Source organism: Homo sapiens, chromosome 5, assembly GCF_000001405.40.
Source record: "Homo sapiens chromosome 5, GRCh38.p14 Primary Assembly".
NCBI classification, from domain to species: Eukaryota; Metazoa; Chordata; class Mammalia; order Primates; family Hominidae; genus Homo; species Homo sapiens.
The window spans coordinates 16,774,641-16,796,571 of NC_000005.10; the positions used below are offsets into that span (position 1 = coordinate 16,774,641).

Below are 21,931 nucleotides of genomic sequence, written 5' to 3' on the forward strand. Positions count from 1 at the left end.
TCGATCTCCTGACCTCATGATCTGCCTGCCTCGGCCTCCCAAAGTGCTGGGATTACAGGCGTGAGCCACCGTGCCCGGCCAATGTTATGTTTTATCAAGTAATATTATATTATTTTAAAAATACTTTATAATATAAAATTGGCTGACCACCCAAGTTTTCCAACACTGAAAGAGACTGACATTTCCAAGTTTCACAACATGAAAGTAAAAAGTTGGTCCTTTAAATTTTAATAAAATCTGACTCATGACAAATGAATTCACGCATGCGTACACAAGGTCACACACCATTCAAGCCCCACAGATATACCCAGGAAGGTCCATATGGTCAGGAAACCCCAGCCCTGCTCAGTGCCAGGCACGCTGTAAACATTCGATATTTGTGGAGTAAAAGAATAAACAGATGATCACTCAGCAAAGACTCCTGTTACTTCATACACATTTCATCAGCCACCAACCTGGTGGGCCAAATGCAAGCAATAAAATAAACCAGTTGTTACTACTGACTTGAAATAGCTTTTCATCCTGACCTAACACTTTAAGGGGCAATTTGAAGGGCTGTATAAGAAATGCCTATGAAATTTAGCATAGGTTCATTGCCTCTGCCCCAGGAAAAACCAAGACGCTCCTAAAACTGTTCAGAATACCTCATAGGTACTTTTTTATATTAATGTTTATTGCGACCAATGATAAATTTTAAAAATACATTAAGGCAAATTCTCAATGAAATAAGCAAAATTCTTAAAAGGTCCTATTGCCAGAATACACTAACATTAAAGTTGATAAAAAGAATCATGTTTTTTGTTTTTGAGACAGGGTCTTACTCTGTCATCCAGGCTGCAGTGCAATGGCATGATCATGGCTCACTACAGCCTCGAACTCCCTGGGCTCAGGTAATCCTCACACCTCCAAGGTAGCTAGGACTACAGGTACACCACAATGCCTGGCCAATTTTGTTTGTTTGTTTGTTTGTTTGTTTTCTCGAGACAGAGTCTTGCTCTGTCGCCCAGGCTGGAGTGCAGTGGCGCGATCTCAGCTCACTGCAACCTCCACCTCCCAGGTTCAAGCAATTCTCCTGTCTCAGCCTCCTGAGTAGCTGGGACTACAGGCACGTGCCACCACGCCCAGCTAATTTTTGTATTTTTAGTACAGATGGGGTTTCACTATGTTGGCCAGGCTGGTCTTGAACTCCAGACCTCGTGATCCATAGCCTCAGCCTCCCAAAGTGCTGGAATTATAGGCATGACCCAATTCTTTTTCTAATTTTTTTATTTTTGAGATGGGGCCTGGCCCTGTCGCCCAGGCTGGAGTGCAGTGACATAATCTCGGCTCACTGTAACCTCCATCTCCCAGACTCAAGCCATCCTCCCACCTCAGCCTCCCAAGTAGCTGGGTTTACACGTGTGTGCCACTACACCCGGCTAATTTTTGTATTTTTTTGTAGAGATGGGTTTTTGCCATGTTGCCCAGGCTGGTCTTGAACTCCTGTGCTCAAGTGATCTGCCCACCTCAGCCTCCCAAAGTGCTGACATTACAGACATGAGCCACTGTACCCCGCCTATCCCCCAATTCTTGATTCTCATAGGTTTGGGAGAAGAAAATCTTATTGTATATAGAAAGGAATATATTTTCCTCCCTCTTTCCCAAAAGTTACACTTTTTTTTTTCTTTTTCTTTTTGCTGCACTGCTTAGAATTTCCAGTACAAGGTTAAAGAGTAACGGGTTAAATTTTGCTATTATTATAGCAAAAATGTCATGTTTGTGATATTAATAAACATCAGCTAAGTTTTCATTGATACACCTGCTAGACTAACACTAAAAAGTAATTGCAAATTAGATATTTAAGGATCTATAAATATCTTTTATAAGTAGAATGTATTAACTAGAATAAATTTGTTAGGTATGCTCATTATGTCAATTTCATGTATAAATTTCTCTTCCTTTCTAGGTGATTGACATATCCTTTTGTCATAAAATCAAATTTCAAATGCCAAGACCTATTATTTCAATGTAGCAATAAAAGCTAGCAATCACTGAAGGGAAGCCAAGTTCCAAAAGTTTACTTGTAGCTGACAAAAAGAACAGACAGTTCTGAAGTGGAAAATGATGTCCCGAGAGAACACAGAGTACCAACGGAGTATCTGATTTCTCAGGGCCTTCCCAGGACAAGGGAGCTGCCACTGCCAAGTGCTCCCTAGCGGCCAACAAGCGAGCTCGCAGGTGATGGGACCTGCAGTGACACTGCCATGTGGATAATCAGGTGTCTTGTCTGTATTCTTTTATCACAAATTATTGTTCGTTACTTCAAGAAAGAAACAAGAAATAAAATAGGAAAAAAGCCAGAGACAAGTCTTTTTTTTTTGCCCTGCTCCTCAAAAACGAGAATGAGAATTTATTCTAACACATCATCTTTTCAGCAGACAGTAATAAATGAACCGTGATGGAAGGTTTGAGTAGTGAGAGGTCTAAAGGGCCAATATAAAATTGGAAAAGATAATTAAAATACTTAGAAAAACACTGCATAAAACCCAACGTGCAAGGCCAAATCCCACACCTCCGCAGGCAGATGCCAAAAGGTGCTGTCTGCAGGAGGGTTTTTGTTAACAGGTTAGAAAATAGGAGAGATGGAGCGAGAAACCGCTCTGCATTATAAATGGCAGGTTGTGACATCTTTAAAAGGGAGGCAGAGTGGAAAACAATCATGTATATAGCCTAGTCCGTTTGGAATTTCATTTTCAACTTAAGGAGACACATGTTAGCCATAGAGAAATGATGCATGATTTATATCCATTTGTTAAAAATATTCTGATTTCATTCCACAGACAGTTGTAACAAATAATCTATGACAATGAAAAGGAAAACAGAATGAAGAGCTGCTAGTCTTCCAGCGGCAGCCTAGGAGGACGAATCTGAGGTGCACTGAAACCAGGTATTACTGCATCGCGGTTTAGAGTGTGGGATCCAGAGTTAGACTGTGTATGGATATGGGCTGCACCAGGTACTGGGTAAGGTTAGGCTGGTCACTAACTTCTCTGAGTCTTAGAATGGAGACAACCATACTTCCTACCATCAGAGGGTTGATGAGAGTGATTGGAAAGTAAACTCCATGTGAAGTTCATAACAGTAAGTGCTCACTAAATGTCAGCTGCATTTGTGATGATTAGAATGATAATGACGCCACCCTAGGTGCATTGCATCTAACTTTTTTTTTTTTTTTTTTTTTTTTTTTTGAGACGGAGTCTTGCACTGTCACAAGGCTGGAGTGCAAAGGCGTGATCTCAGCTCACTGCAACCTCCGCCTCCCAGGTTCAAGCGATTCTCCTGCCTCAGGCTCCTAAGTAGCTGGGACTGCAGTCGCCCGCCACCATATCCAGCTAATTTTTTGTGTGTTTTTAGCAGTGACGGGGTTTCACTATGTTGGCCAGGCTGGTCTTGAACTCCTGACCTCGTGATCCGCCTGCCTCACCCTCCCAAAGTGCTGGGATTACAGGCATGAGCCACCGTGCCCGGCTGCATCTAACTGTTCTAATAAGGGCTCTGGTAAAGAACTTAAGATCACAGTGATGAAATCTCCTGGCCAGGCCCGATTGGGTGGGGCTGTTCGCAACGCTCGATGACTGGGCTATCTTAAATGCAGATACCTTGTAACAAAGCCCTTGCAAGAGACCATGGCATGCCACAATGCAGAGACAGGATGACTAATGCTCACGCAACCAGAAATGGCCATCACAAGCCACGAGGGCTGGATGATACCTTAACATGAGACAGCCAAATGCTTAGGCAGATAAAATGGGGTCCCTGGAGAATCTCCAAGCGTCCCAAGAATGTTTACATTAGATGCTTTTGGGTCGATGAGGGAACCTGCCCAGGGCTTGTCTGGGCATCCCACAGTGAACTGGAGCCTGACGTACGCACTGGGGGAAGTGGGTGGGGCCACGGGGAATTCTTCCACGGGGAAGAGAAGCCTGCTCTCTTCCGCTCCTGTAGTGACCTGGAAATCAACATGTGAGGTGGGGGCCTGTTAGCAGGAACACCTCTCGCTTTGCTGAGGTTTTTTTTTTTTTTTTTTTTTTGAGACGGAGTCTCGCTGTCTCCCAGGCTGGAGTGCAGTTGCGCGATCTCGGCTCACTGCAAGCTCCGCCTCCCGGGTTCACGCCATTCTCCTGCCTCAGCCTCCCGAGTAGCTGGGACTATAGGCGCCCGCCACCACGCCCGGCTAATTGTTTGTATTTTTAGTGGAGACGGGGTTTCACCGTGTTAGCCAGGATGGTCTCAATCTCCTGACCTCGTGATCTGCCCGCCTTGGCCTCCCAAAGTGCTGGGATTATAGGCATGAGCCACCGCGCCTGGCCATCTTCCTTTCACCCAATAAAACCCTGCTCTACTCACCCTTCAACGTGTCCCTGTGCCTAAGTTTTCCTGATCGTGTGACAAGACCCCAGGTTTTAGCTGAACAAAGGAGCAAAATTCTGCAACAACAGTCACCTGGGCCAATGGCTGGCAGATTTGTTATTAGCTATAGAATTTGTTTTTCAAAGAAATCTTACTTGTAAGCCCCAAAATGGAGGATCTGCTGGTTCCAGAGTGAAGCCCATGATTTGGGGGGTTTTTTGGGGGTGGAAGGTACACTTTCTGAACACACTGTCCCAAGTAAACTGCCCATCTGCCCTGAATGACACATTCGCTCATCTTCTAAGGAAAGAAGAGTCCTCAAACCCCTTTCAGCCTAGAACTTGGAACAAGTTCATGACTTGGAACAAGAAGGAAATACCTGTTCTCACCCACTGGTCCAAATGGAATTACTTCTATTTCTATTTAAAAAAATCTTTTGAAACCGAAAATGAAATCTGTTACTCTTAATAAGGTATCTGATATCTTAATAGGGAAAACATTTAAAAGTAACTTACAATAACTTCCCTAAAGGATTCCTGGTCACTGATTGTCTTGTCTTCTACACATCCAGACTGATTCAAGTAGTGGTAGTTTTCTGGCGTAGATAAATAAAATTCTTCTACAGAAAGACAAAAACATGATGTCACAGTTCTCCAGGACAAGATGAAATTCAGAGTTTTCACTCTGACTTTTTAAAGTATATATATATAATTCTGTGCTCTTAACAGTCTCCCATAAAGATAATAAAGTTCCCTCTTAGTTACCATCTAGGGAAAATAGAAAACAATTACTGAAACTAAATGAGATTATTTAAAAAATGTTACTGAAAGAACAACTGATGAGGATCCTGTTTGTTTTCTCTTAAAAAATCTTTCTTTTTTCTTTTTAATGAAACAGAGTCTAGCTCTGTCACCCAGGCTGGAGTGCAGTGGCACAATCTCAGCTCACCGCAACTTCTGCCTCCCGGGTTCAAGCGATTCTCCTGCCTCAGCCTCCTGAGTAGCTGGAATTACAGGCACGAACCACCATGCCTGGCTAATTTTTGTGTTTTTAGTAGAGACGGAGTTTCACCATATTGGCCTGGCTGGTCTTGAACTCCTGATCTCCAGTGATCCGTCTGCTTGGCCTCCCAGAGTACTGGGATTACAGGTGTGTGCCACTGCACCCAGCCAAAAATCAAATATTTAGAAATTAACTTTATTCAGGGTGGCTGAAAAGTGAAACCAGCTGTAATATGTATTTTTAATAAACATCCTTTACATTAAAAATGTACCAAGACTCAAAAAAAAAAATCTAAGGTTTCTCTACTGATAATTTTCTCCCTATTATTTCTCCCTACTGTAAATTCAGCATCTTTTTGGTGTTCGCATAGTGTACATTTCATTGCTATCGGTGAAATGTCAACATTAAAACAGATGTTCTCTCATTTACTGACATCTATTTAAATGGAAAATGAGTTGCTAGTCCACATTATCCAGCTGTCGTCCCACTCACCTCTTTCTTCATGTTCCAGCCCTGCCAGCAGTGCATAAAATATGTGATAATTCCTTTCCCCGGGATTTTGCCTTACTACTCGGTTCTGGGAAGATAAATCAGATTTATATTCAGAGATGTGTCCTGTGCTTAATTCACACAAACCAATAATTTCTGAAAATTGTTATTATGGAAGAAAATGTGGATTAAATCACGTTTACTTACTTTTTCTAATAAATCTTCATGTGAAAAGCAATGGCAAGTCAAGGAAAAAAACAAAGCTATGTGCCATGCTCAACTAGTCTTTCATTTTCTATTCTTTGGTGCTCAAATAATTACAGTTCCCTGTTCCTTTGACATAGAAGCTTCCAGTGCCAACAGACAAGCAAACAAAGTATAGACTATTTCATCTAAATCTAATTCCAGGCCTGACACATGGTACCCTGTCAGGTACCAAACTAACTGACACAGTTGATTTCAAACAAATACCTGAAGTTTAATGATGAAGTCAATGTTTCAGATTATGGAAATTATATCAGAGATTTATAAAACAAATACGGTTCTTTATTTCACAGAATTTTTTTTTTTTTTTTTTAACACAGTGTCTCGCTCTCTCGCCCAGGCTGGAGTGCAGTGGCACGATCTCGGCTCACTGCAACCTCTGCTACCTGGGTTCAAGCGATTCTCCTGTCTCAGCCTCCCAAGTAGCTGGGAATACAGGCACACGCCACCAAGCCTGGCTAATTTTTGTATTTTTAGTATCGGTGGGGTTTCACCATGTTGGCCGGGCTGGTCTCAAACTCCTGACCTCAAGTGATCTGACCACCTTGGCCTCCCACAGTGCTGGGATTACAGGCATGAGCCACTGCGCCTGGCCGCACAGAATAATTTTTAAAAATTATTTTATTTTTTTAAGAGACAGGGTCTTGCTATGTTGCTCAGGCTGGCCTCTAACTCTTGAGCTCAAGCAATCCTCCTGCCTCAGCCTCCCAAGTAGCTGTAACTATAGGCACATGTACCATGTCCATCTCATAGAAAAAATTAACAGGTATACTAACATTAGAGCAATAACTAACTGTCTAATTCGTTAAAGAACCAGAGAAAGAAATGTTTCACATTCTTTTTCAATCCTTATAATTAGTGAGAACAGTTTCCACTTAGAGAATCAATTACTATAGATAAAAATAAATGAAAGAGGATACAATCTACAATTCTCCCGCCCTGAATATTTCCTTTCTGACAGATGTTCAGCTGAACAAACTTCCCAAAGCGACTAGAGTTGTTGTTGTACACGGTCTTCGCATTGCCGAAAGCTTCCATGATGGGGCTGTGAAGACAGTGAGGGCAGCAGACAGCATTAATAAGGGTGGGTCTGAAGACAGCAATAGCACTTCTCACAAATGTCAAAATATACAACTGCAAGAAAAATCTGAAACCAAAAGGACTGAGGGTGGCAATGTTTATTTCCGGAAGAGCCAGATTTTCAAAATGCTTGTTGAAATGGGCTTATCTGCATATCCATCTTAGTGAGCGTAGCTGTGCTGCCAAGGGATGCCACACAGTTAAGGGGACCGCAATGGCTCGTTCCTGCACCAGTGAGTGTGGCCTTACATGCACAATCCAGGGACTGCACAGAAAAAGCCCACCCCAATTCTAGAAACTGAAGAAGTTCCAGTCCTGGAAATTTCACCTATTTGTTGTATGTCCCGGGGGCAACTCATTTAATTTCTTTGGGTCTTTTCCAAGTGTAAGATGGAGTCTGACTAGATCAGGGGCCGGCAAACTTTTTCTGGAAAGGACCAGACAGTAAGTATTTTAGGCTTTGCAGACCACGGGATCTCGGTTGCAACTACTCAGCTCTGCCACTATAGCCTAAAAGCAGCTGTAAACACTACTCATGAGTGTGGCTGGGTTCCAATAAAACTTTATTTATAAAAACAGATTACAGGAGGAAGATGAAGTTTTGGAGACAGATGGCAGCAATGGTTGCATAACAAACATGAATGTACTTAATGCCAACGCCACTGCGCCGTACACTGAAAAACAGTTAACACACATTTAGTGCTAGGTATATTTTACCACGATTTTAAATGGTGTGTTTACATGCTAAAAAACAAAAAACAAAAACAGGCTGCAAGATATGGGCACGAGGCTGTGGTTTGCCGACCCCTGGACAAATCTCTAAATAATAGGGTGTATAAAGTCCCTACCGGTTCTAAAGTCTTATAAGGCACAAACCATCTATCAGGCAATGACATAGTTTATACAACAACTCGGGTGACACCTAGCCCTCTTTCTAAGTTTTGAGGCTCCCTGTTATATAGAATGCATCACTCATCTTCCACACACGAGAGGCCCGTTCTGCTCATGTTAAGCCTCCAAGCGGTGGATGCTGACCTGAACCCTGCTCGTCTCCACGCTAAGCCCCCTTTTACACAGTGGCTGGGGGCTGACATTTCTGCTGCTAACAAGGCCTCCAGAAAACTAGTCAAGTTTATTCTTCTCCATAAACTCCAATACAAGTGCCTTATCTGATGCAGGTGCTTCAAAAACACATGAAGCTGGAGTCAAAGGCTCTGCAGACAGCCATTGCGCGCCACTCAGTCCCCATCTCAGACCTGGCCTGACGATGAAGGGGCAGGAGGCAGAAGGAGTTGTTGCTGGGTTCATGAGATATTACTATGTGCATGGCAAGACCTTTTCTTAAGGAATTGTAAAAGAGAAGTCAAGAAAAAGAGAAACGCGACCAACTAATTTTAACTCTTCTTTAAATAAGCCATACCATAAGGAAAGTGAATCCTATTAGTTGGAAACAAGAAAATCAATAAATACCTGCTTTCAAGAATAGCTCGTTCAACACAGGATGTCTTCTCCTTTAAGGACAATTCCAAAGACTGTTGACTGATGACTGACAGAAACTTGAGGATCAATTTAGTGCTTTCGGTTTTACCTGCCCCACTTTCACCACTGAAAGACAAAACGGAAAAGTTTGTGCTTCTAACTATAATTTTTAAAAAAAAATCAGCTTTGGTCAATGGCACTATAATTACTCAACAGAACAATGGTAGAAAGGTGGGAAGAGGGAGATCAAAATGCCTGTTTCCAAAGAGCTGAGTTAAAAGAAAGCAAAAGTCCTTTCTCCTGCTGGCCACATTGTGTCTGGCCTTACTCGCCTCTTTTGGCAAATGAGGCAAATAGAACTACCTTTTCCTAAGGAAAGGTCATAAGATGTATGGTGCCTCACAGGGAAGGTAAGCTCTGGGAAAGAGGGATCTTCATTTTGTTCACTAGTTCATCCCAAACACCTCCACTGTGTAAACGTTTGGTTAAATGCATGAGCTCACTAACATGATCTTTCTGAGAAACTTAAAGCAGGTACACATGAATAAAAATGCAATCATTCATGAGTAATACTGAGGGGACAAGGCAATGAACCTGCGGGTACACAACCCACACTAACTCATGTTATTCCCACAATAATCCCATGAGGGAAGCATGGCTGAGTGTCCGAGTTGGACTCTTAATGCCAGCTCGGCCTGATCCAAAGTCCTGCCAAGGTCACGTGTTAGTGATAGTTAAGGACAAGTGAACAAAAAATCCAGAGGGAAGGGAGGCAAAGGACAGAAGTAAATAAGGGATGAGTTATGCCTTAAAAGACCAGCAAACATGAGTCAGGCCAAGAAAGCACAGAAACCACAGAAGCTGGGAAAGATTCTTATGGGAGAATGAGATCCAGGTCTGGTTAGGTCAGCTGGGCTGAGACGAAAGGCGGCAGAGAAGATGAGCTGAGGTTCAGCTGGATGCTTCAGAGGCAAGTGCAGGAGCTGGAGGGTGGTGATGACCTCATCAAGGCCACCTGTAGGAAACGCAGCTCTGGAGGAAAAGCTCTAGAAGGACCGAAGGGTCCCTCGGGAGACCAGCTGCTGCCGTTGTTTAGGCCCGCGGTGGCCAGGTCCCAAACACAGTTAACAAGGCTGGAGACGGAGAGGAAGATACGGACATGAGAGAGACTTGAACGGAGAAACCCCATCCATCTGGCATATGGCACCATGCTTGGTGTTGTGCAGAGAACAGAAGTAGCAAAGAGGCTGGAAACTTACAAGAAAGGTAAACTGAAGGGATAAGCAAGAGCACAGCCATACAAACGCCATCACGAGGCAGCACGCTGACAACCGCTGAATGGTGGGATGGGCAGATGAGCCCCTTTTGCGTTCTAAAGAGAAGTCCTGTGGAGTACCAAGAGCTGGGACGTTATCAAGAAAGAGGAATTTTGCTAAAAATGTGAATCAATTGCATGTAATAAAAGAGAAGAAATGACTCAGAGATGACGCCAACATGCCGGGCTGGGTGCAGGGGTCCCAGGGATCTCCACTGGTCTAGACAACCACAGTCCTTTCACCTGCTCTGCTAGCGACAGGCCTGGGCAGGGGCCAGTGTCACGATTCCACAAAGACATAATGTCGTAATGTCAAGGGTACTGTGGGCTCCTAGGGGAGGTTTGCGCGCACACACACGACACTGGGCGGAAATGTCCCTTTTGCGGCAGACAACAAAGATCTGACGATCTAAACCTGTCTTGAAATCATAAAGCAAAAGCCAAGAAAATCAGAGGCAAGCCCAGCCGGGGCGGGGGCTGAATCCACATCCCTGAAACTGCCCTGCCTCATGTAGTCTGAAATAGTAAAAGGCAGCATAAATTAGGCCACCTTTAGTTGGGGTTTCCCTTACCAGCCACCAGAATCTTCCCAGTACAGAGCTTAGCATACATTGAATAACTGGCATCTGCTCGGCCCAGTGCCTGGCACGGGGGAGGCATTCAACAACAGTGCACAGAATGACTCACAGAAACCAAGAGAGACAGTTTCAAGGAACGATTTAAATCATCTTCCATATTTAAAACATATCTATATTGACGCGACAGCTGTTGGTGGCTGAGTTATTAAAACAAAAACTAGAAGGTTAAGTTGTCTAGTGAAAATGGTGAGGCCGAAACAATGTTATGTGTTCCTCAACCTACCTCTTTATCCTCGGGCACACAGAAGCCGAAAACATTTAGACTCCCTTGCAGTAAAAACAGCAGGCAGAGGCCGGGCACTGTGGCTTGCGCCTGTAATCCCAGCACCATGGGAGGCTGAGGCGGGTGGATTACTTGAGGTCAGAAGTTTGAGACCAGCCTGGCTAACATGGTGAAACCCTGTCTCTACTCAAAATACAAAAATTAGCCGGGCGTGGTGGCGCACGTCTGTAATCCCAGCTACATGGGAGGCTGAGGCAGAAGAATCACTTGAACCTGGGAGGTGGAGGTTGCAGTGAATGGAGATCACACCACTGCATTCCAGCCTGGGCAACAGAGCCAGACTCCATCTCAAAAAAATAATTAAAAAAAACAAAAAAACAAAAAACCCGGCAGGCAGGCAGTAACAAGGGGACCAAGTGTAGCCAGTTGAACAACTGAGCCATGGGGCTATCAGCCACTTCTATGCCTGGTAGCTAAAAACCCCCTTCACAGTCCTCTGGGCTCCACCTTCCGCTTGCCACCTAAGTGTCCTCAGAGATGGTACATCTCCCAAGCAAAGAAGCCTACAGAGTAGACTCGAGTCCCTCCCCTACCCACCAGGGGCCGGAGAGGAGCAAGAAATAGACCATCCCTGTGTTACACCCCTAAGATTTGATGGCTGTCTGTCATAGCAGCCAGCCTACCTTGGCTCACCGAATATGGCAAAAATACAATTATGGAGAAGATACGATACTCTTCAAACTCTACAGCAGAGGCTTGGTCAAAGAAAGAAAACCCAGGATTCTCGTCGTCATAAAGATGCTTCAAGAGTGTATGACACATTGAGAAAAAATACGGCTGGAAATGGACCAAGTCATGGATATCAATCTCTGTCAATCTCTTATACAGGTGGAAGATCTCCTATCTGAAATGCTGGGGACGAGAAGTGTTTCTGATTTCAGATTCTGGATTTTGAGAATATCTGCATTACACCAACTGAGTAACCCTAAATCTGAAAATATGAAATCTGAAATGGTCAAGAATCTGAAACTTTTTTTTAGTGCCAACATGACATTCAATAGAAATGTTCTTTGGGGTTCTTTGGGGCAAATTTTCACATGAGGGATGCTCGACCAGTATAATGCAAAGATTCCAAAATCCAAAAACATTGGAAAAAACCTGAAAGCTGAAATATGCCTAGCCCAAAGCATTTTGGATAAGGGATACTCAAGCTGTGCAAGTAAAACTTGGAAAAACCCTCAGATTTGCACAGAGCTCTACGGTGGTGGCTCTCAACCCTGGCTGCATATTAGAATCACCTAATAGGTCCCTCGTCCAAACCTGTGGGTGTAGAACTCTGTCATTTTTATTTAAAAAAAAAAATTTTTGGCCGGGGGCAGTAGCTCACATCTGTAATCCTACCACTTTGGGAGGCCAAGACAGGGAGATCACTTAAGGTCAGGAGTTCGAGGCCAGCCTGGCGAACATGGTGAAACCCCGTCTCTACTAAAAATACAAAAATTAGCCAGGCATGGTAGCGGGTGCCTGTAGTTCCAGCTACTCAGGAGGCTGAGGCAGGAGAATCACTTGAATCCGGGAGGCGGAGGTTGCAGTGAGCAGAGATTGCATCACTGCACTCTAGCCTGGGTGACAGAGCGAGACCCAAGACCCTGTCTCTCTTTTTTTTTGAATGATTCTACTATGAAGCCAGGTTGAAGAACTGCTACTCTGGAAAGCAGCCTCACATAATTCAGATAGGACTCTACCAGGAGGTAAGTGGTGTCTACTCATATATTGGGCTGTGGAAGTGTTTTACAAACAACAGGGCAAAGAAGAAATATAATTAAATAACTCACAAACTGCTAAAACCCAGAAATATGCCAGATGTCCCGAGATACTAATGTCAAGGTCACAGACTCTGCAGGTAGTACATTTCTGTCTAACCCGTCTCCTCCTCCTCCAGCCTGCAGTTCCACTTGGTCCTCATTAGCCCAAGGCAATTACAGTTCTATGCCTTGTGCCAGCAGGCCAGCCAACACAAACACAGGCTTTGGCAAAAATGTGTGCATTCAGATTAACCAAAAGGAGCTTATATTGTTTTGTTTTGCTTTAAAAAAAAAAAAAAAAAAAAAAAAACTTTCTAACTATAATAATGAAAATGTGAAAACAAACCCAAAGCACTGATGGGGGGCCACAGGCTGTATTAAAAATTGTGAGAATTTTTTGTAAGCACAATGGAAAGTCACAAGACAGTTCCTAAGCAGGAGAGTGTCATGATCAGATTTAAGCTTCTAAAGGATCGTTCTTTTGTGTGTGTGTGTGTGAGTTTCGCTCTGTCTCCCAGGCTGGAGTGCAGTGGCGCAATCTTGGCTCACTGCAACCACCACCTCCCCAGGTTCAAGCGATTCTCCTGCCTCCCGAGTAGCTGGGATTACAGGCGCCTGCCACCACGCCCAGCTAATTTTTGTAATTTTTAGTAGAGACGGAGTTTCACCATGTTGGCCAGGCTGGTCTCGAACTTCTGACCTCAGGTGATCTACCCGCCTCGGCCTCCCAAAGTGCTGGCATTACAGGCATGAGCCACCAGGCCCCAAAGAATCATTCTGACTGTTGCGTGGAGAATGGACAGAAAGGAGGCAAGAGAAGAATCAGGGAGACCAAAAAGGTGATGCGGGAAGGGCCGCGGGGGCAGCAGAGATGAAGTGAGAGGCCCAAGAAAGACTGGAGGGAAAGGGACAGGATTGCTGAGGGGCCTGGCCAGGGGGTGGGCAGCAAGTGACAGGGAGGCATCAGGGATGACTCCTGGGGCCCCTGAGTGTTTGCTGGCGTGATGATTCAGGAATTGGTACCACCAGGTTTGTGCATTTGTCAAAACTCATCAAACTGGATGCTTATGACTGGCATACTTTACCGTGTGTAAGTTTACCTTAATTTGGTGGCGGCGGGGAAGAATCACTTCCAGATCTCAGGCTTGGGACAGGGTAGGATGGAGAGGCTACTGGCTGAGAATAGGAGGCACAAGAGGAGGGACAAGTTTCTGGGAGAAGATGATACTGACTTTAGAACATGCCACCCCTGAGACATCTCAGTGATGACACCTAAGGGGCACTGGGACTTAAGTCTGGGACTCAAATGAGAAGTTGAGGGTGTATAAACTTGGAGAGTCCTGCAGACTCAGAGAAGAAAACGCAGGTGGGTGAGAAGACAGCAGATGAAAAATGACTGAGAAGCTGAGGAGTGGCCGTGGAGAGCCAGGAAGAAATATAGGATGGGGCGCCATGGTGGGGGGCGTGGGGGCAGCTTGCTGAGACGAAGGAGTAGTTGAATGAGGCTGTGGAACCAAACGAGCATCTTTTGTATTTTTTTCCAAGATGGAACATACTAAAAGATTTTGAATAACGTCAACAATCCAGTTGAGAGAGAGGTCAAAGAATCCAGGGCAAGGAGGCTCAGAGATGCAGCAATGTCCTCGGGTGAGCAGAGAGGAGGGATCCATGACACACCTGAAGGAAAAGGAATCTGATACGAGCAGGGCCTTTGGTGCACAGGACACGCTAGCCTCCCAGCAGCACACATCAAGGCTGGCAGTTTTCTAGATCCAGCCCATGTGTCAGCAAACAATGGTCCTCAACTCTGACCTGCTGCCTGTTTTTATAAATAAAGTTTTATTGGAACACAGTGCAGGCTGTGCGTTGCATACTGAGTGCTTTCACACTACAAGGGCAGAGTTGATTAGTTGCAACAGAGGTGCTTTCGCCCACAAAGCCTAAAATATACACTCTTTGGCTCTTTACACAAAACTTTTTGCTGCCATCTATAACACTACTTAGAAATCAATTCCCTTGATCCACATGATTTTCTCAAAATATAAATCGGATCATTCCTTCAATTGTTAGATGAACTTGGGAAACTTCTCTACTGCCTAAAAGATTAACTCCAAAGGTCTTAGCAAGCCAAACAAAGCCCTTTTGTTTGGAAGCTGTACCAGAAAGTAGGATTCTGTTCTGGAAATACAGACTTCACTCATGCCTGTAATCTTAGCACTTTGGGAGGCTGAGGCAGGCAGATCATTTGAGGTCAGGAGTTGGAGACCAGCCTGACCAACATGGTGAAACCTCATATCGTAAAAATACGATAAAAAAAAGTTAGCCAGCCATGATGGTGCACGCCTGTAACCCCAGCTACCTGGGAGGCTGAAGCAGGAGAATTGCTTGAACTTGGGAGGAGGAGCCGAGATTGTGCCACCGCACTCCAGCATGGGCAACAGAGCAAGACTCTATCTCAAAAAACAAACAAAAAACAGAAATACAGACTTCACAGGCAGAGAGACTGAAGTTCAAATCCTATGTTTGTTGCCAATAGCTAAAGTTTCTTCAGCAAGCCAACCAAACAGTTCTGGGCCTCGGCTTCCCTACAGAAAATGCCTCTTGGGCCCCTCTGAGGAATACACAAGAATAAGTCTTCTCGATGAATTTCAGTTCCTTTTTCTTTGTGTTTCCCACTCCACCTCTTTCATCTGCTATATTACAAGAGCACGCCCCCATGCCTTATTCTGCTTGGTGCCTTTCTAATCGAGGATGCAAGTTTTGTTCCGCATTCCAACACTATCACCTCTAAATGTATTTCTAGAAATAGAAAAAGACCAAACACTCAATTACCAGTCCAGGACATGGTTAAGTAGAAATCACTCAAGTTTTGAAAAACCAAAACACACAAAGCAAGCAAAGATCCTGAACCAACAGTCATTCTGTATATTCATCCTTTGATTGGCAGCTGTTGAATGCTGGTCCTCTCCCAGACACTGTGCTGGGTACCAGGCTGCAAAGATGAATTAGCCACAGGCCTTGTCTGTATTATACACCTTAAGAAGTCATATGTACTGCAAAGACCACATGATATGGTTTGGCTGTGTCCCCACCCAGATCTCATCTTGAATTGTACTCCCATGGTTCCCGCCATGTTGTGGGAGGGACCTGGTGGGAGACGACTGAATCATGAGGGTGGTTTCCCCATGCTGTTCTCGCAGTAGTGAGTGGGTTTCATGAGATCTAATGGTTTTATCAGGGGTTTCTGCCTTTGCATCTTCTTCACTGTCTCTTTGCCTGCTTCCATCCATGTAAGACGTGACTTGCTTCTCCTTGCCTTCCACCATGATTGTGAGGCTTCCCCAGCCACGTGGACCTGTAACTCCAATTAAACCTCTTTCTTTTGTAAATTGCCCAGTCTCGAGCATATCTTTATCAACAGTGTGAAAACGGACTAATACACCATAATAAACTAAACCCTGTCTGGCCTATACGGTGTATGAAAAACTAGAGTCAATGTCAAATGTACTAGAGATCAACCAAAGTCAAACACTGACCTTATGAGATGGAAAATTCAAGTAAGTTTTAAATTTATATATATATATATATACACACACACACACACATATATTCAAAACTGTAATAGCATGAGCATTCATTTAAATGTACACAAAAATGGCAAAATTAAAACTAGACCTTAAGAGAGGCAACAACCTTGAAAATGAAATCAAAGGAAGAGGCTTGGACTAGAAGCCCAGGGACCTGGCATTGCCACCAAGTAGCAGAGGAGCCTATCCAATCGATGTTCACTTATAAAGCGAGAGAAAAATTGATCTATGAAGTCCTATATAATTCAAACAGGCTTATTTTCTCAAGCATGAGAATGTTTTTAAAGTAGTAAAACACATTTTAGCCAGCAGGGGGCAGATCATGCCCAAGGAAATCTAAACAGGGCTCCTACGTCCAGCAACTCCTATTTCTATATTCCATTTTCTCTTAATTCCCACAGCTTCAACCCCCACTTTAAAAAACTGCTGAAGAGAGCTATTAAAACTAAAACACATTTTAATGAGAAATCTATTCTTAAAGTCTCTGTTTCCTGAATTAATTTAGATAAATACAGTTACTCTGTTCACATCAGCATTGCATAATTGGAGCTTTCTGTTTGGGATCCACCCCCCTCTCCCCCTTATTTTTAAATACCATGAAAATGCCAACCTCCTTCCGTTTTAATACATACATACACACACACACACACATACACATATGCACAATGATCTCATTTGATGTTTCGCTTTCTTCTTTAGCGGCTCTGTCTAGCAAATGATATATTAGTCATGCTCTCATTTTTTCCACTGAATGTAATAAATACAAGCAATTATCAATGGCAATTATTTAAGGATCTAAGTGTGGACACCAACTTGATCTGTTAAAATAGATTGTTTTCTTCCCTTCTGTTAATCTTCTTAAATTATATTCTGTATGCTGAAATAATGATCTTTAAATTCTAACTCCAGAACTTTTATGAAGTCATTTAGAAGAGCCCACAAATAGTGGTTCTAGTCACAGATTAAATTGTTTTATTGGGTATGTGAATCTTAAAAGCTGTTTCTATATTAAGCAGCCGCTTCATTTCGATTAACTGCAAGCCGTTATGATCCCTATCTGTTTAACTGAATACACTGACAGTCCCTCTATCCAAGTTGTTTCTATGGCCCAACACATTATTAGTCCTGTTAGACTTTAGGTAACGAGAAGACAGTACCTCTGCCCATATGCTCCCCTCCTGTTAGACACACACATACATACACACACACACACACACACACAGAGAGAGAGAGAGAGAGAGAGAGAGAGAGAGGGAGAGACAGAGACAGACAGAGACAGAGACAGAATTCAGCTGTTCATATACATGTAATCCCCATTTGTTTAAAAAAAAAAGGAACTACAAAAAAGATAACGGGTAAAAACTGCCAGTGAGAAGAACACAACCCCTGCAAATGGCTTTCCGTGTGTGGCACCTGCAGATATCATCATAGAGCACCCAAATCAAAGGGCTGTCAGGGGTTTCAATGTGCCGATGCCTGGCAAGCTCTTGGCACAGAGTCCAACACGCAGAATCCTTCAGAAACCATGAGCCATTATTTCTTATCCATCCTCAATCAGCTCTCACATGGGATAATGCTAACATTCTCCATCCATTTCCCTGCCCCAGGGTTTCAGAGGGGCCTCCTCTGGCACCTCTGTCCTCCCCCAACCCCAGTCCCTCCCCACAGGAGCGGGGGGCGGGGGGCTGCTCTAAGTGCTCTGGGGTGAAAGGAGAAAGGCAGCACCTGCCTGCTTTTCTCCACCATCTGGGAATCAGTTTCCCACAGTCATCATGGCCACCAGTTACCTGGCTATACCCATGACCAGGTGGGTCTGTCTGTGTGATTCGGGGCTGCAGTGCTCACAGGCCCACTTGGCTGGGAGTCTTAGGCTGACATATGGCTCTCCATATGTCTCCTGTGGTCTTACTTCCACTGAATCGGAAATCCGGAGAGAGGGGTCTTTTTAGTGTCCCCCCCTCCCCCGACATCACCCGCCAAATCCAAACCACCCTTTCCTCTCCCTTTCCCATTCCTCCTGAAATAACATAATAACTATTCTGAGGAAATAATATAATTATTCTGAGGACGAGAGCCAAGTTGCCACAAGTTGGGACTAGAAAGCCATCTGAAGCAGATGTCGGAATCTTCGTTCACACTGGCAGCTTTACAAGACTGTGGCTCCTCAGTAACAACTATACCCCGTGAGTGAACTCCTGCGAGGAGAAATGAATGAAGAAATGCTTGGCGCCTCCACGGAAACCTCACTAGAAGAGACTGACATGCATCCCGTCTGCTCTGAGTATCACCCAGGGGTGTGAGGATCATCACTAGAGCACAGGTCCAATAGAAATAATTAACAAACTCCAACAGGATGTCAATAGCATACATGTGATGAGGTCAATTTGAATGTTAATAATAAAAATTAAGAAATTTTATTTATTTATTTATTGAGAAGGAGTCTCACTCTGTCACCCAGGCTGGAGTGCAGTGGTGTGATCTCAGCTCACTGCAACCTCCACCTCCGGGTTAAAGTGATCCTCCCATCTCAGCCTCGCAAGTAGCTGGAACTATAGGCATGAGCCACCGCGCCTGGCTGATTTTGCATTTTTAGTAGAAATGGGGTTTCATCATGTTGGCCAGGCTGGTCTCCAACTCCTGAACTCAAGTGAACCACCCTCCTTGGCCTCCTAAAGTGCTGGGAGTACAAGTGTGAGCCATTGTGCCCAGCCAATAAATATTTATTTTAAAAATACTCGCCGGGAGCGGTGGCTCACGCCTGTAATCCCAGCACTTTGGGATGCTGAGGCAGGCGGATCACCTGAGGTCGGGAGTTTAAGACCAGCCTGACCAACACAGAGAAACTCCGTCTCTACTAAAAATGCAAAATTAGCTGGGGTGGTGGCGACGCATGCCTGTAATCCCAGCTACTCGGGAGGCTGAGGCAGGAGAATCACTTGAACCCAGGAGGCGGAGGTTGCAGTGAGCTGAGATCGCACCATTGCACTCCAGCCTGGGCAACAAGAGCGAAACTCCAACTCAAAAAAAAAAAAAAGAAATTCTACTACTTTTTTAGACAGTTTCTAGTAATAAAGGAGCTGATATTGGGGCTCCTAATAGTTTCTTTGTAAAAGCGAGTACGACTCAGCTAAAATAGACATGCCAAGTGCCTTCTCACCCACTAAAAAAAAATATTGAAATAAACATGCCCTTAACATACACACAGTAAGCCCCTCTTCTGTGGCTAATTAACTTTAAGAGCACCCTATTATTAAAAATTCCTAAATTTGGGAGATTCTATCTAGAGTTATTTTATTGCAGTAGAGAAAAAAGAAACCTTGTTCACATACATAAGCCTTGTGAGTAGCACTGTAGGCTATATAAAACATTTAAATTTGAAAGAACTATGCAAGATTTCCTTAAACAGATAGAAGGACCATGCCTCATCATTGAAATAAATCAAAGAATAATTAAGGCAAATAAATGTTGCTTTAAAAAAAAAAAAAAAAAAAAGGAACAGAATGGAATAATTATTCTGAGGACAAGAGCCAAGCAACATGGTCCATCTGCTTTGCTAAGTAAGCTCCTTCTGAAAGCTGAAGTTACCATGCCATTCAAAACAGAAAACTCTGTCGGAGAAACTCAGGCGGTTGTAAAAGCTTCCTCTGGTTAATGCCCTAAGGAGGCTGGGGTTGGGGGTGCGCGGAGGGACTCCTGGGCCATGGGAAAGTCCGACTGGCTGTGAGCCCCGTTACCTGATGAGGATGCACTGGTTGTCGTGGCGCTTCCACAGGCAGCGGTAGCACTCGTTGGCGATGGCGAAGATGTGCGGGGGCAGCTCGCCCAGGTGGCGCCGGCTGTACTGCTCCATGGTGGCAGGCTCGTACAGCCCGGCGATGGGCTGGTAGGGGTTCACGGAGGCCAGGATGGAGCCGATGTAGGTCTGCAAGCACAGAGTGAGACAGGGATGCGTCACTTCTAACCCAGGCCACTGGATGAGCTCCAACAAAACCCACCGAGTGTGCGCCAGGGGGAAAGACGTCTTCTGTCTCCCGGGTGCACACTGTCCCTGCCTTTCTGGGTACCAAATCTTGATATTCTGGACAAATGAATGAAGCCATTTCAAAGAGGGATGGCAGTGAAAGGGAAACAAGAGAAGGAAGATGGTGAGGCGGCCCAGGCCCAGTCCCTGCTCCCCAGGCCCAGATCCCTGCTCCCCGCTGACCTCACCAATCTTAATCCCTTCCCATGGGCAAAGGACTGGCCAGGTCCAGTCTCCTGTCTCATTAAATGGCTACTGTGAAACAGCATGGTTAAAAAGTGACGGGACAGAAAGGAGAAGAGAGGTAGCCAGGGGTTGGGGGAGAAGGACATTTACAATTTAATGGGTGCAGAGTTTCTATTTAGGGTGATGGGGAAGTTCTGGAAGTGGGCCGGGCCTGGTGGCTCATGCCTGTAATCCCAGCACTTCCAGAGGCTGAGGCGGGCAGATCACCTGAGGTCAGGAGTTCAAGGCCAGCCTGGCCAACATGGTGAAACCCCATCTCTACTAAAAATACAAAAATTAGCCAGGCATGGTGATGCCTGCCTGTAATCCCTACACAGGAGGCTGGGAAAGGAGAATCACTTGAACCCAGGAGCCAGAGGTTGCAGTGACCCGAGATAGTGCTACTGCACTCCAGCCTGGGCGACAGAGTGAGATTCCATCTCAAAAAAAGTTATGGAAGTGGTTGGTACTTGTGGATGCAGAACATTGTGAATGTCCTTATTATTATTTATTTTTATTTTTAATTTTTTTTGTAGAGACATGGTCTTGCTTTGTTACCCAGGCTAGTCTCGAACTCCTGGTTTTGAGTGATCCTCCCTCCTTGGCCTCCCAAAGTGCTAGGTCTGTGAATGTACCTAATATGACTGAATTGTACACTTCAAAATAGTCAAAATGGCAAATTTTATGCTATGCAGAGTTAGCTACAGCTTTTAAAAGATAACGTGACCATTTCGAAAATGCTAGGTATCAGACCGAGCGCAGTGGCTCACGACTGTAATCCCAGCATTTTGGGGGGCCGAGGTGCGAGGATCTCAAGATCAGGAGACCAAGACCACCCTGGCTAACAGAGTGAAACCCCGTCTCTACTAAAAATACAAAAAATTAGCCAGGCCCGGTGGCACACACCTGTAATCCCAGCTACTCGGGAGGCTGAGGCAGGAGAATCTCTTGAACCTGGGAGGTGGAGGTTGCAGTGAGCCAAGATTGCGCCACTGCACTCCAACCTGGGCGACAGAGCGAGACTCTGTCAAAAAAAAAAAAAAAAAGAAAGAACAGAGAGAGAGCGAGAAAGAGAAAGAGCGAGCGTGCGAGAGAGAGAGAGAGAGAAAGAAAGAAGGAAAGAAAGAAAGAAGAAAAGAAAGAAGGAAAGAAAGGGAAAGAGAGGAAGAAAGGAAAGAAAGGGAAAGAGAGGAAGAAAGGAAAGAAAGGGAAGAAAAAGAAAAGAACAGAACACAACACAAAAGAAAAAGAAAGGAAAGAAAGGAAAAAGAAAGAAAAGAAAGACAGAAAGAAAGAAAGAAAGAAAGAAAGAAAAGAAAAGAAAAGAAAGAAAGAAAGAAGGAAAATAAATAAATAAATAGAGGCTACAGAGTTACCAAAGCTTAATGCCTTAGGCCTCTCCATGTGGACATAA

At 44.4% G+C, this 21,931-nt stretch overlaps 1 protein-coding gene across 2 annotated transcripts in view, besides 2 other annotated features; it reads right to left on the reverse strand.

The window, feature by feature from the left end:
• MYO10 (myosin X) overlaps window positions 1-21,931 on the reverse strand; it is a 274,382-nt gene that overhangs the window by 112,734 nt on the left and 139,717 nt on the right. For both annotated transcript variants that reach the window (XM_006714475.4, NM_012334.3), the window contains exons 4-9: window positions 20,006-20,193; window positions 8,695-8,829; window positions 7,065-7,189; window positions 6,088-6,101; window positions 5,884-5,968; window positions 4,905-5,008 (exon numbers count right to left, since the gene is read on the reverse strand). In XM_006714475.4, coding sequence (XP_006714538.1) covers window positions 4,905-5,008; window positions 5,884-5,968; window positions 6,088-6,101; window positions 7,065-7,189; window positions 8,695-8,829; window positions 20,006-20,193 — 651 coding nt within the window. The remainder of the gene's footprint in view (window positions 1-4,904; window positions 5,009-5,883; window positions 5,969-6,087; window positions 6,102-7,064; window positions 7,190-8,694; window positions 8,830-20,005; window positions 20,194-21,931) is intronic.
• Window positions 19,586-20,113: an enhancer, noted in NCBI's record as "H3K4me1 hESC enhancer chr5:16794335-16794862 (GRCh37/hg19 assembly coordinates)". NCBI's record gives its function as "activates a minimal SCP1, AML or CMV promoter by ChIP-STARR-seq in primed H9 embryonic stem cells {active_cell/tissue: H9 hESC(primed)}" and the evidence as "EXISTENCE:reporter gene assay evidence [ECO:0000049][PMID:30033119]".
• Window positions 20,114-20,641: an enhancer, noted in NCBI's record as "H3K4me1 hESC enhancer chr5:16794863-16795390 (GRCh37/hg19 assembly coordinates)". NCBI's record gives its function as "activates a minimal SCP1, AML or CMV promoter by ChIP-STARR-seq in primed H9 embryonic stem cells {active_cell/tissue: H9 hESC(primed)}" and the evidence as "EXISTENCE:reporter gene assay evidence [ECO:0000049][PMID:30033119]".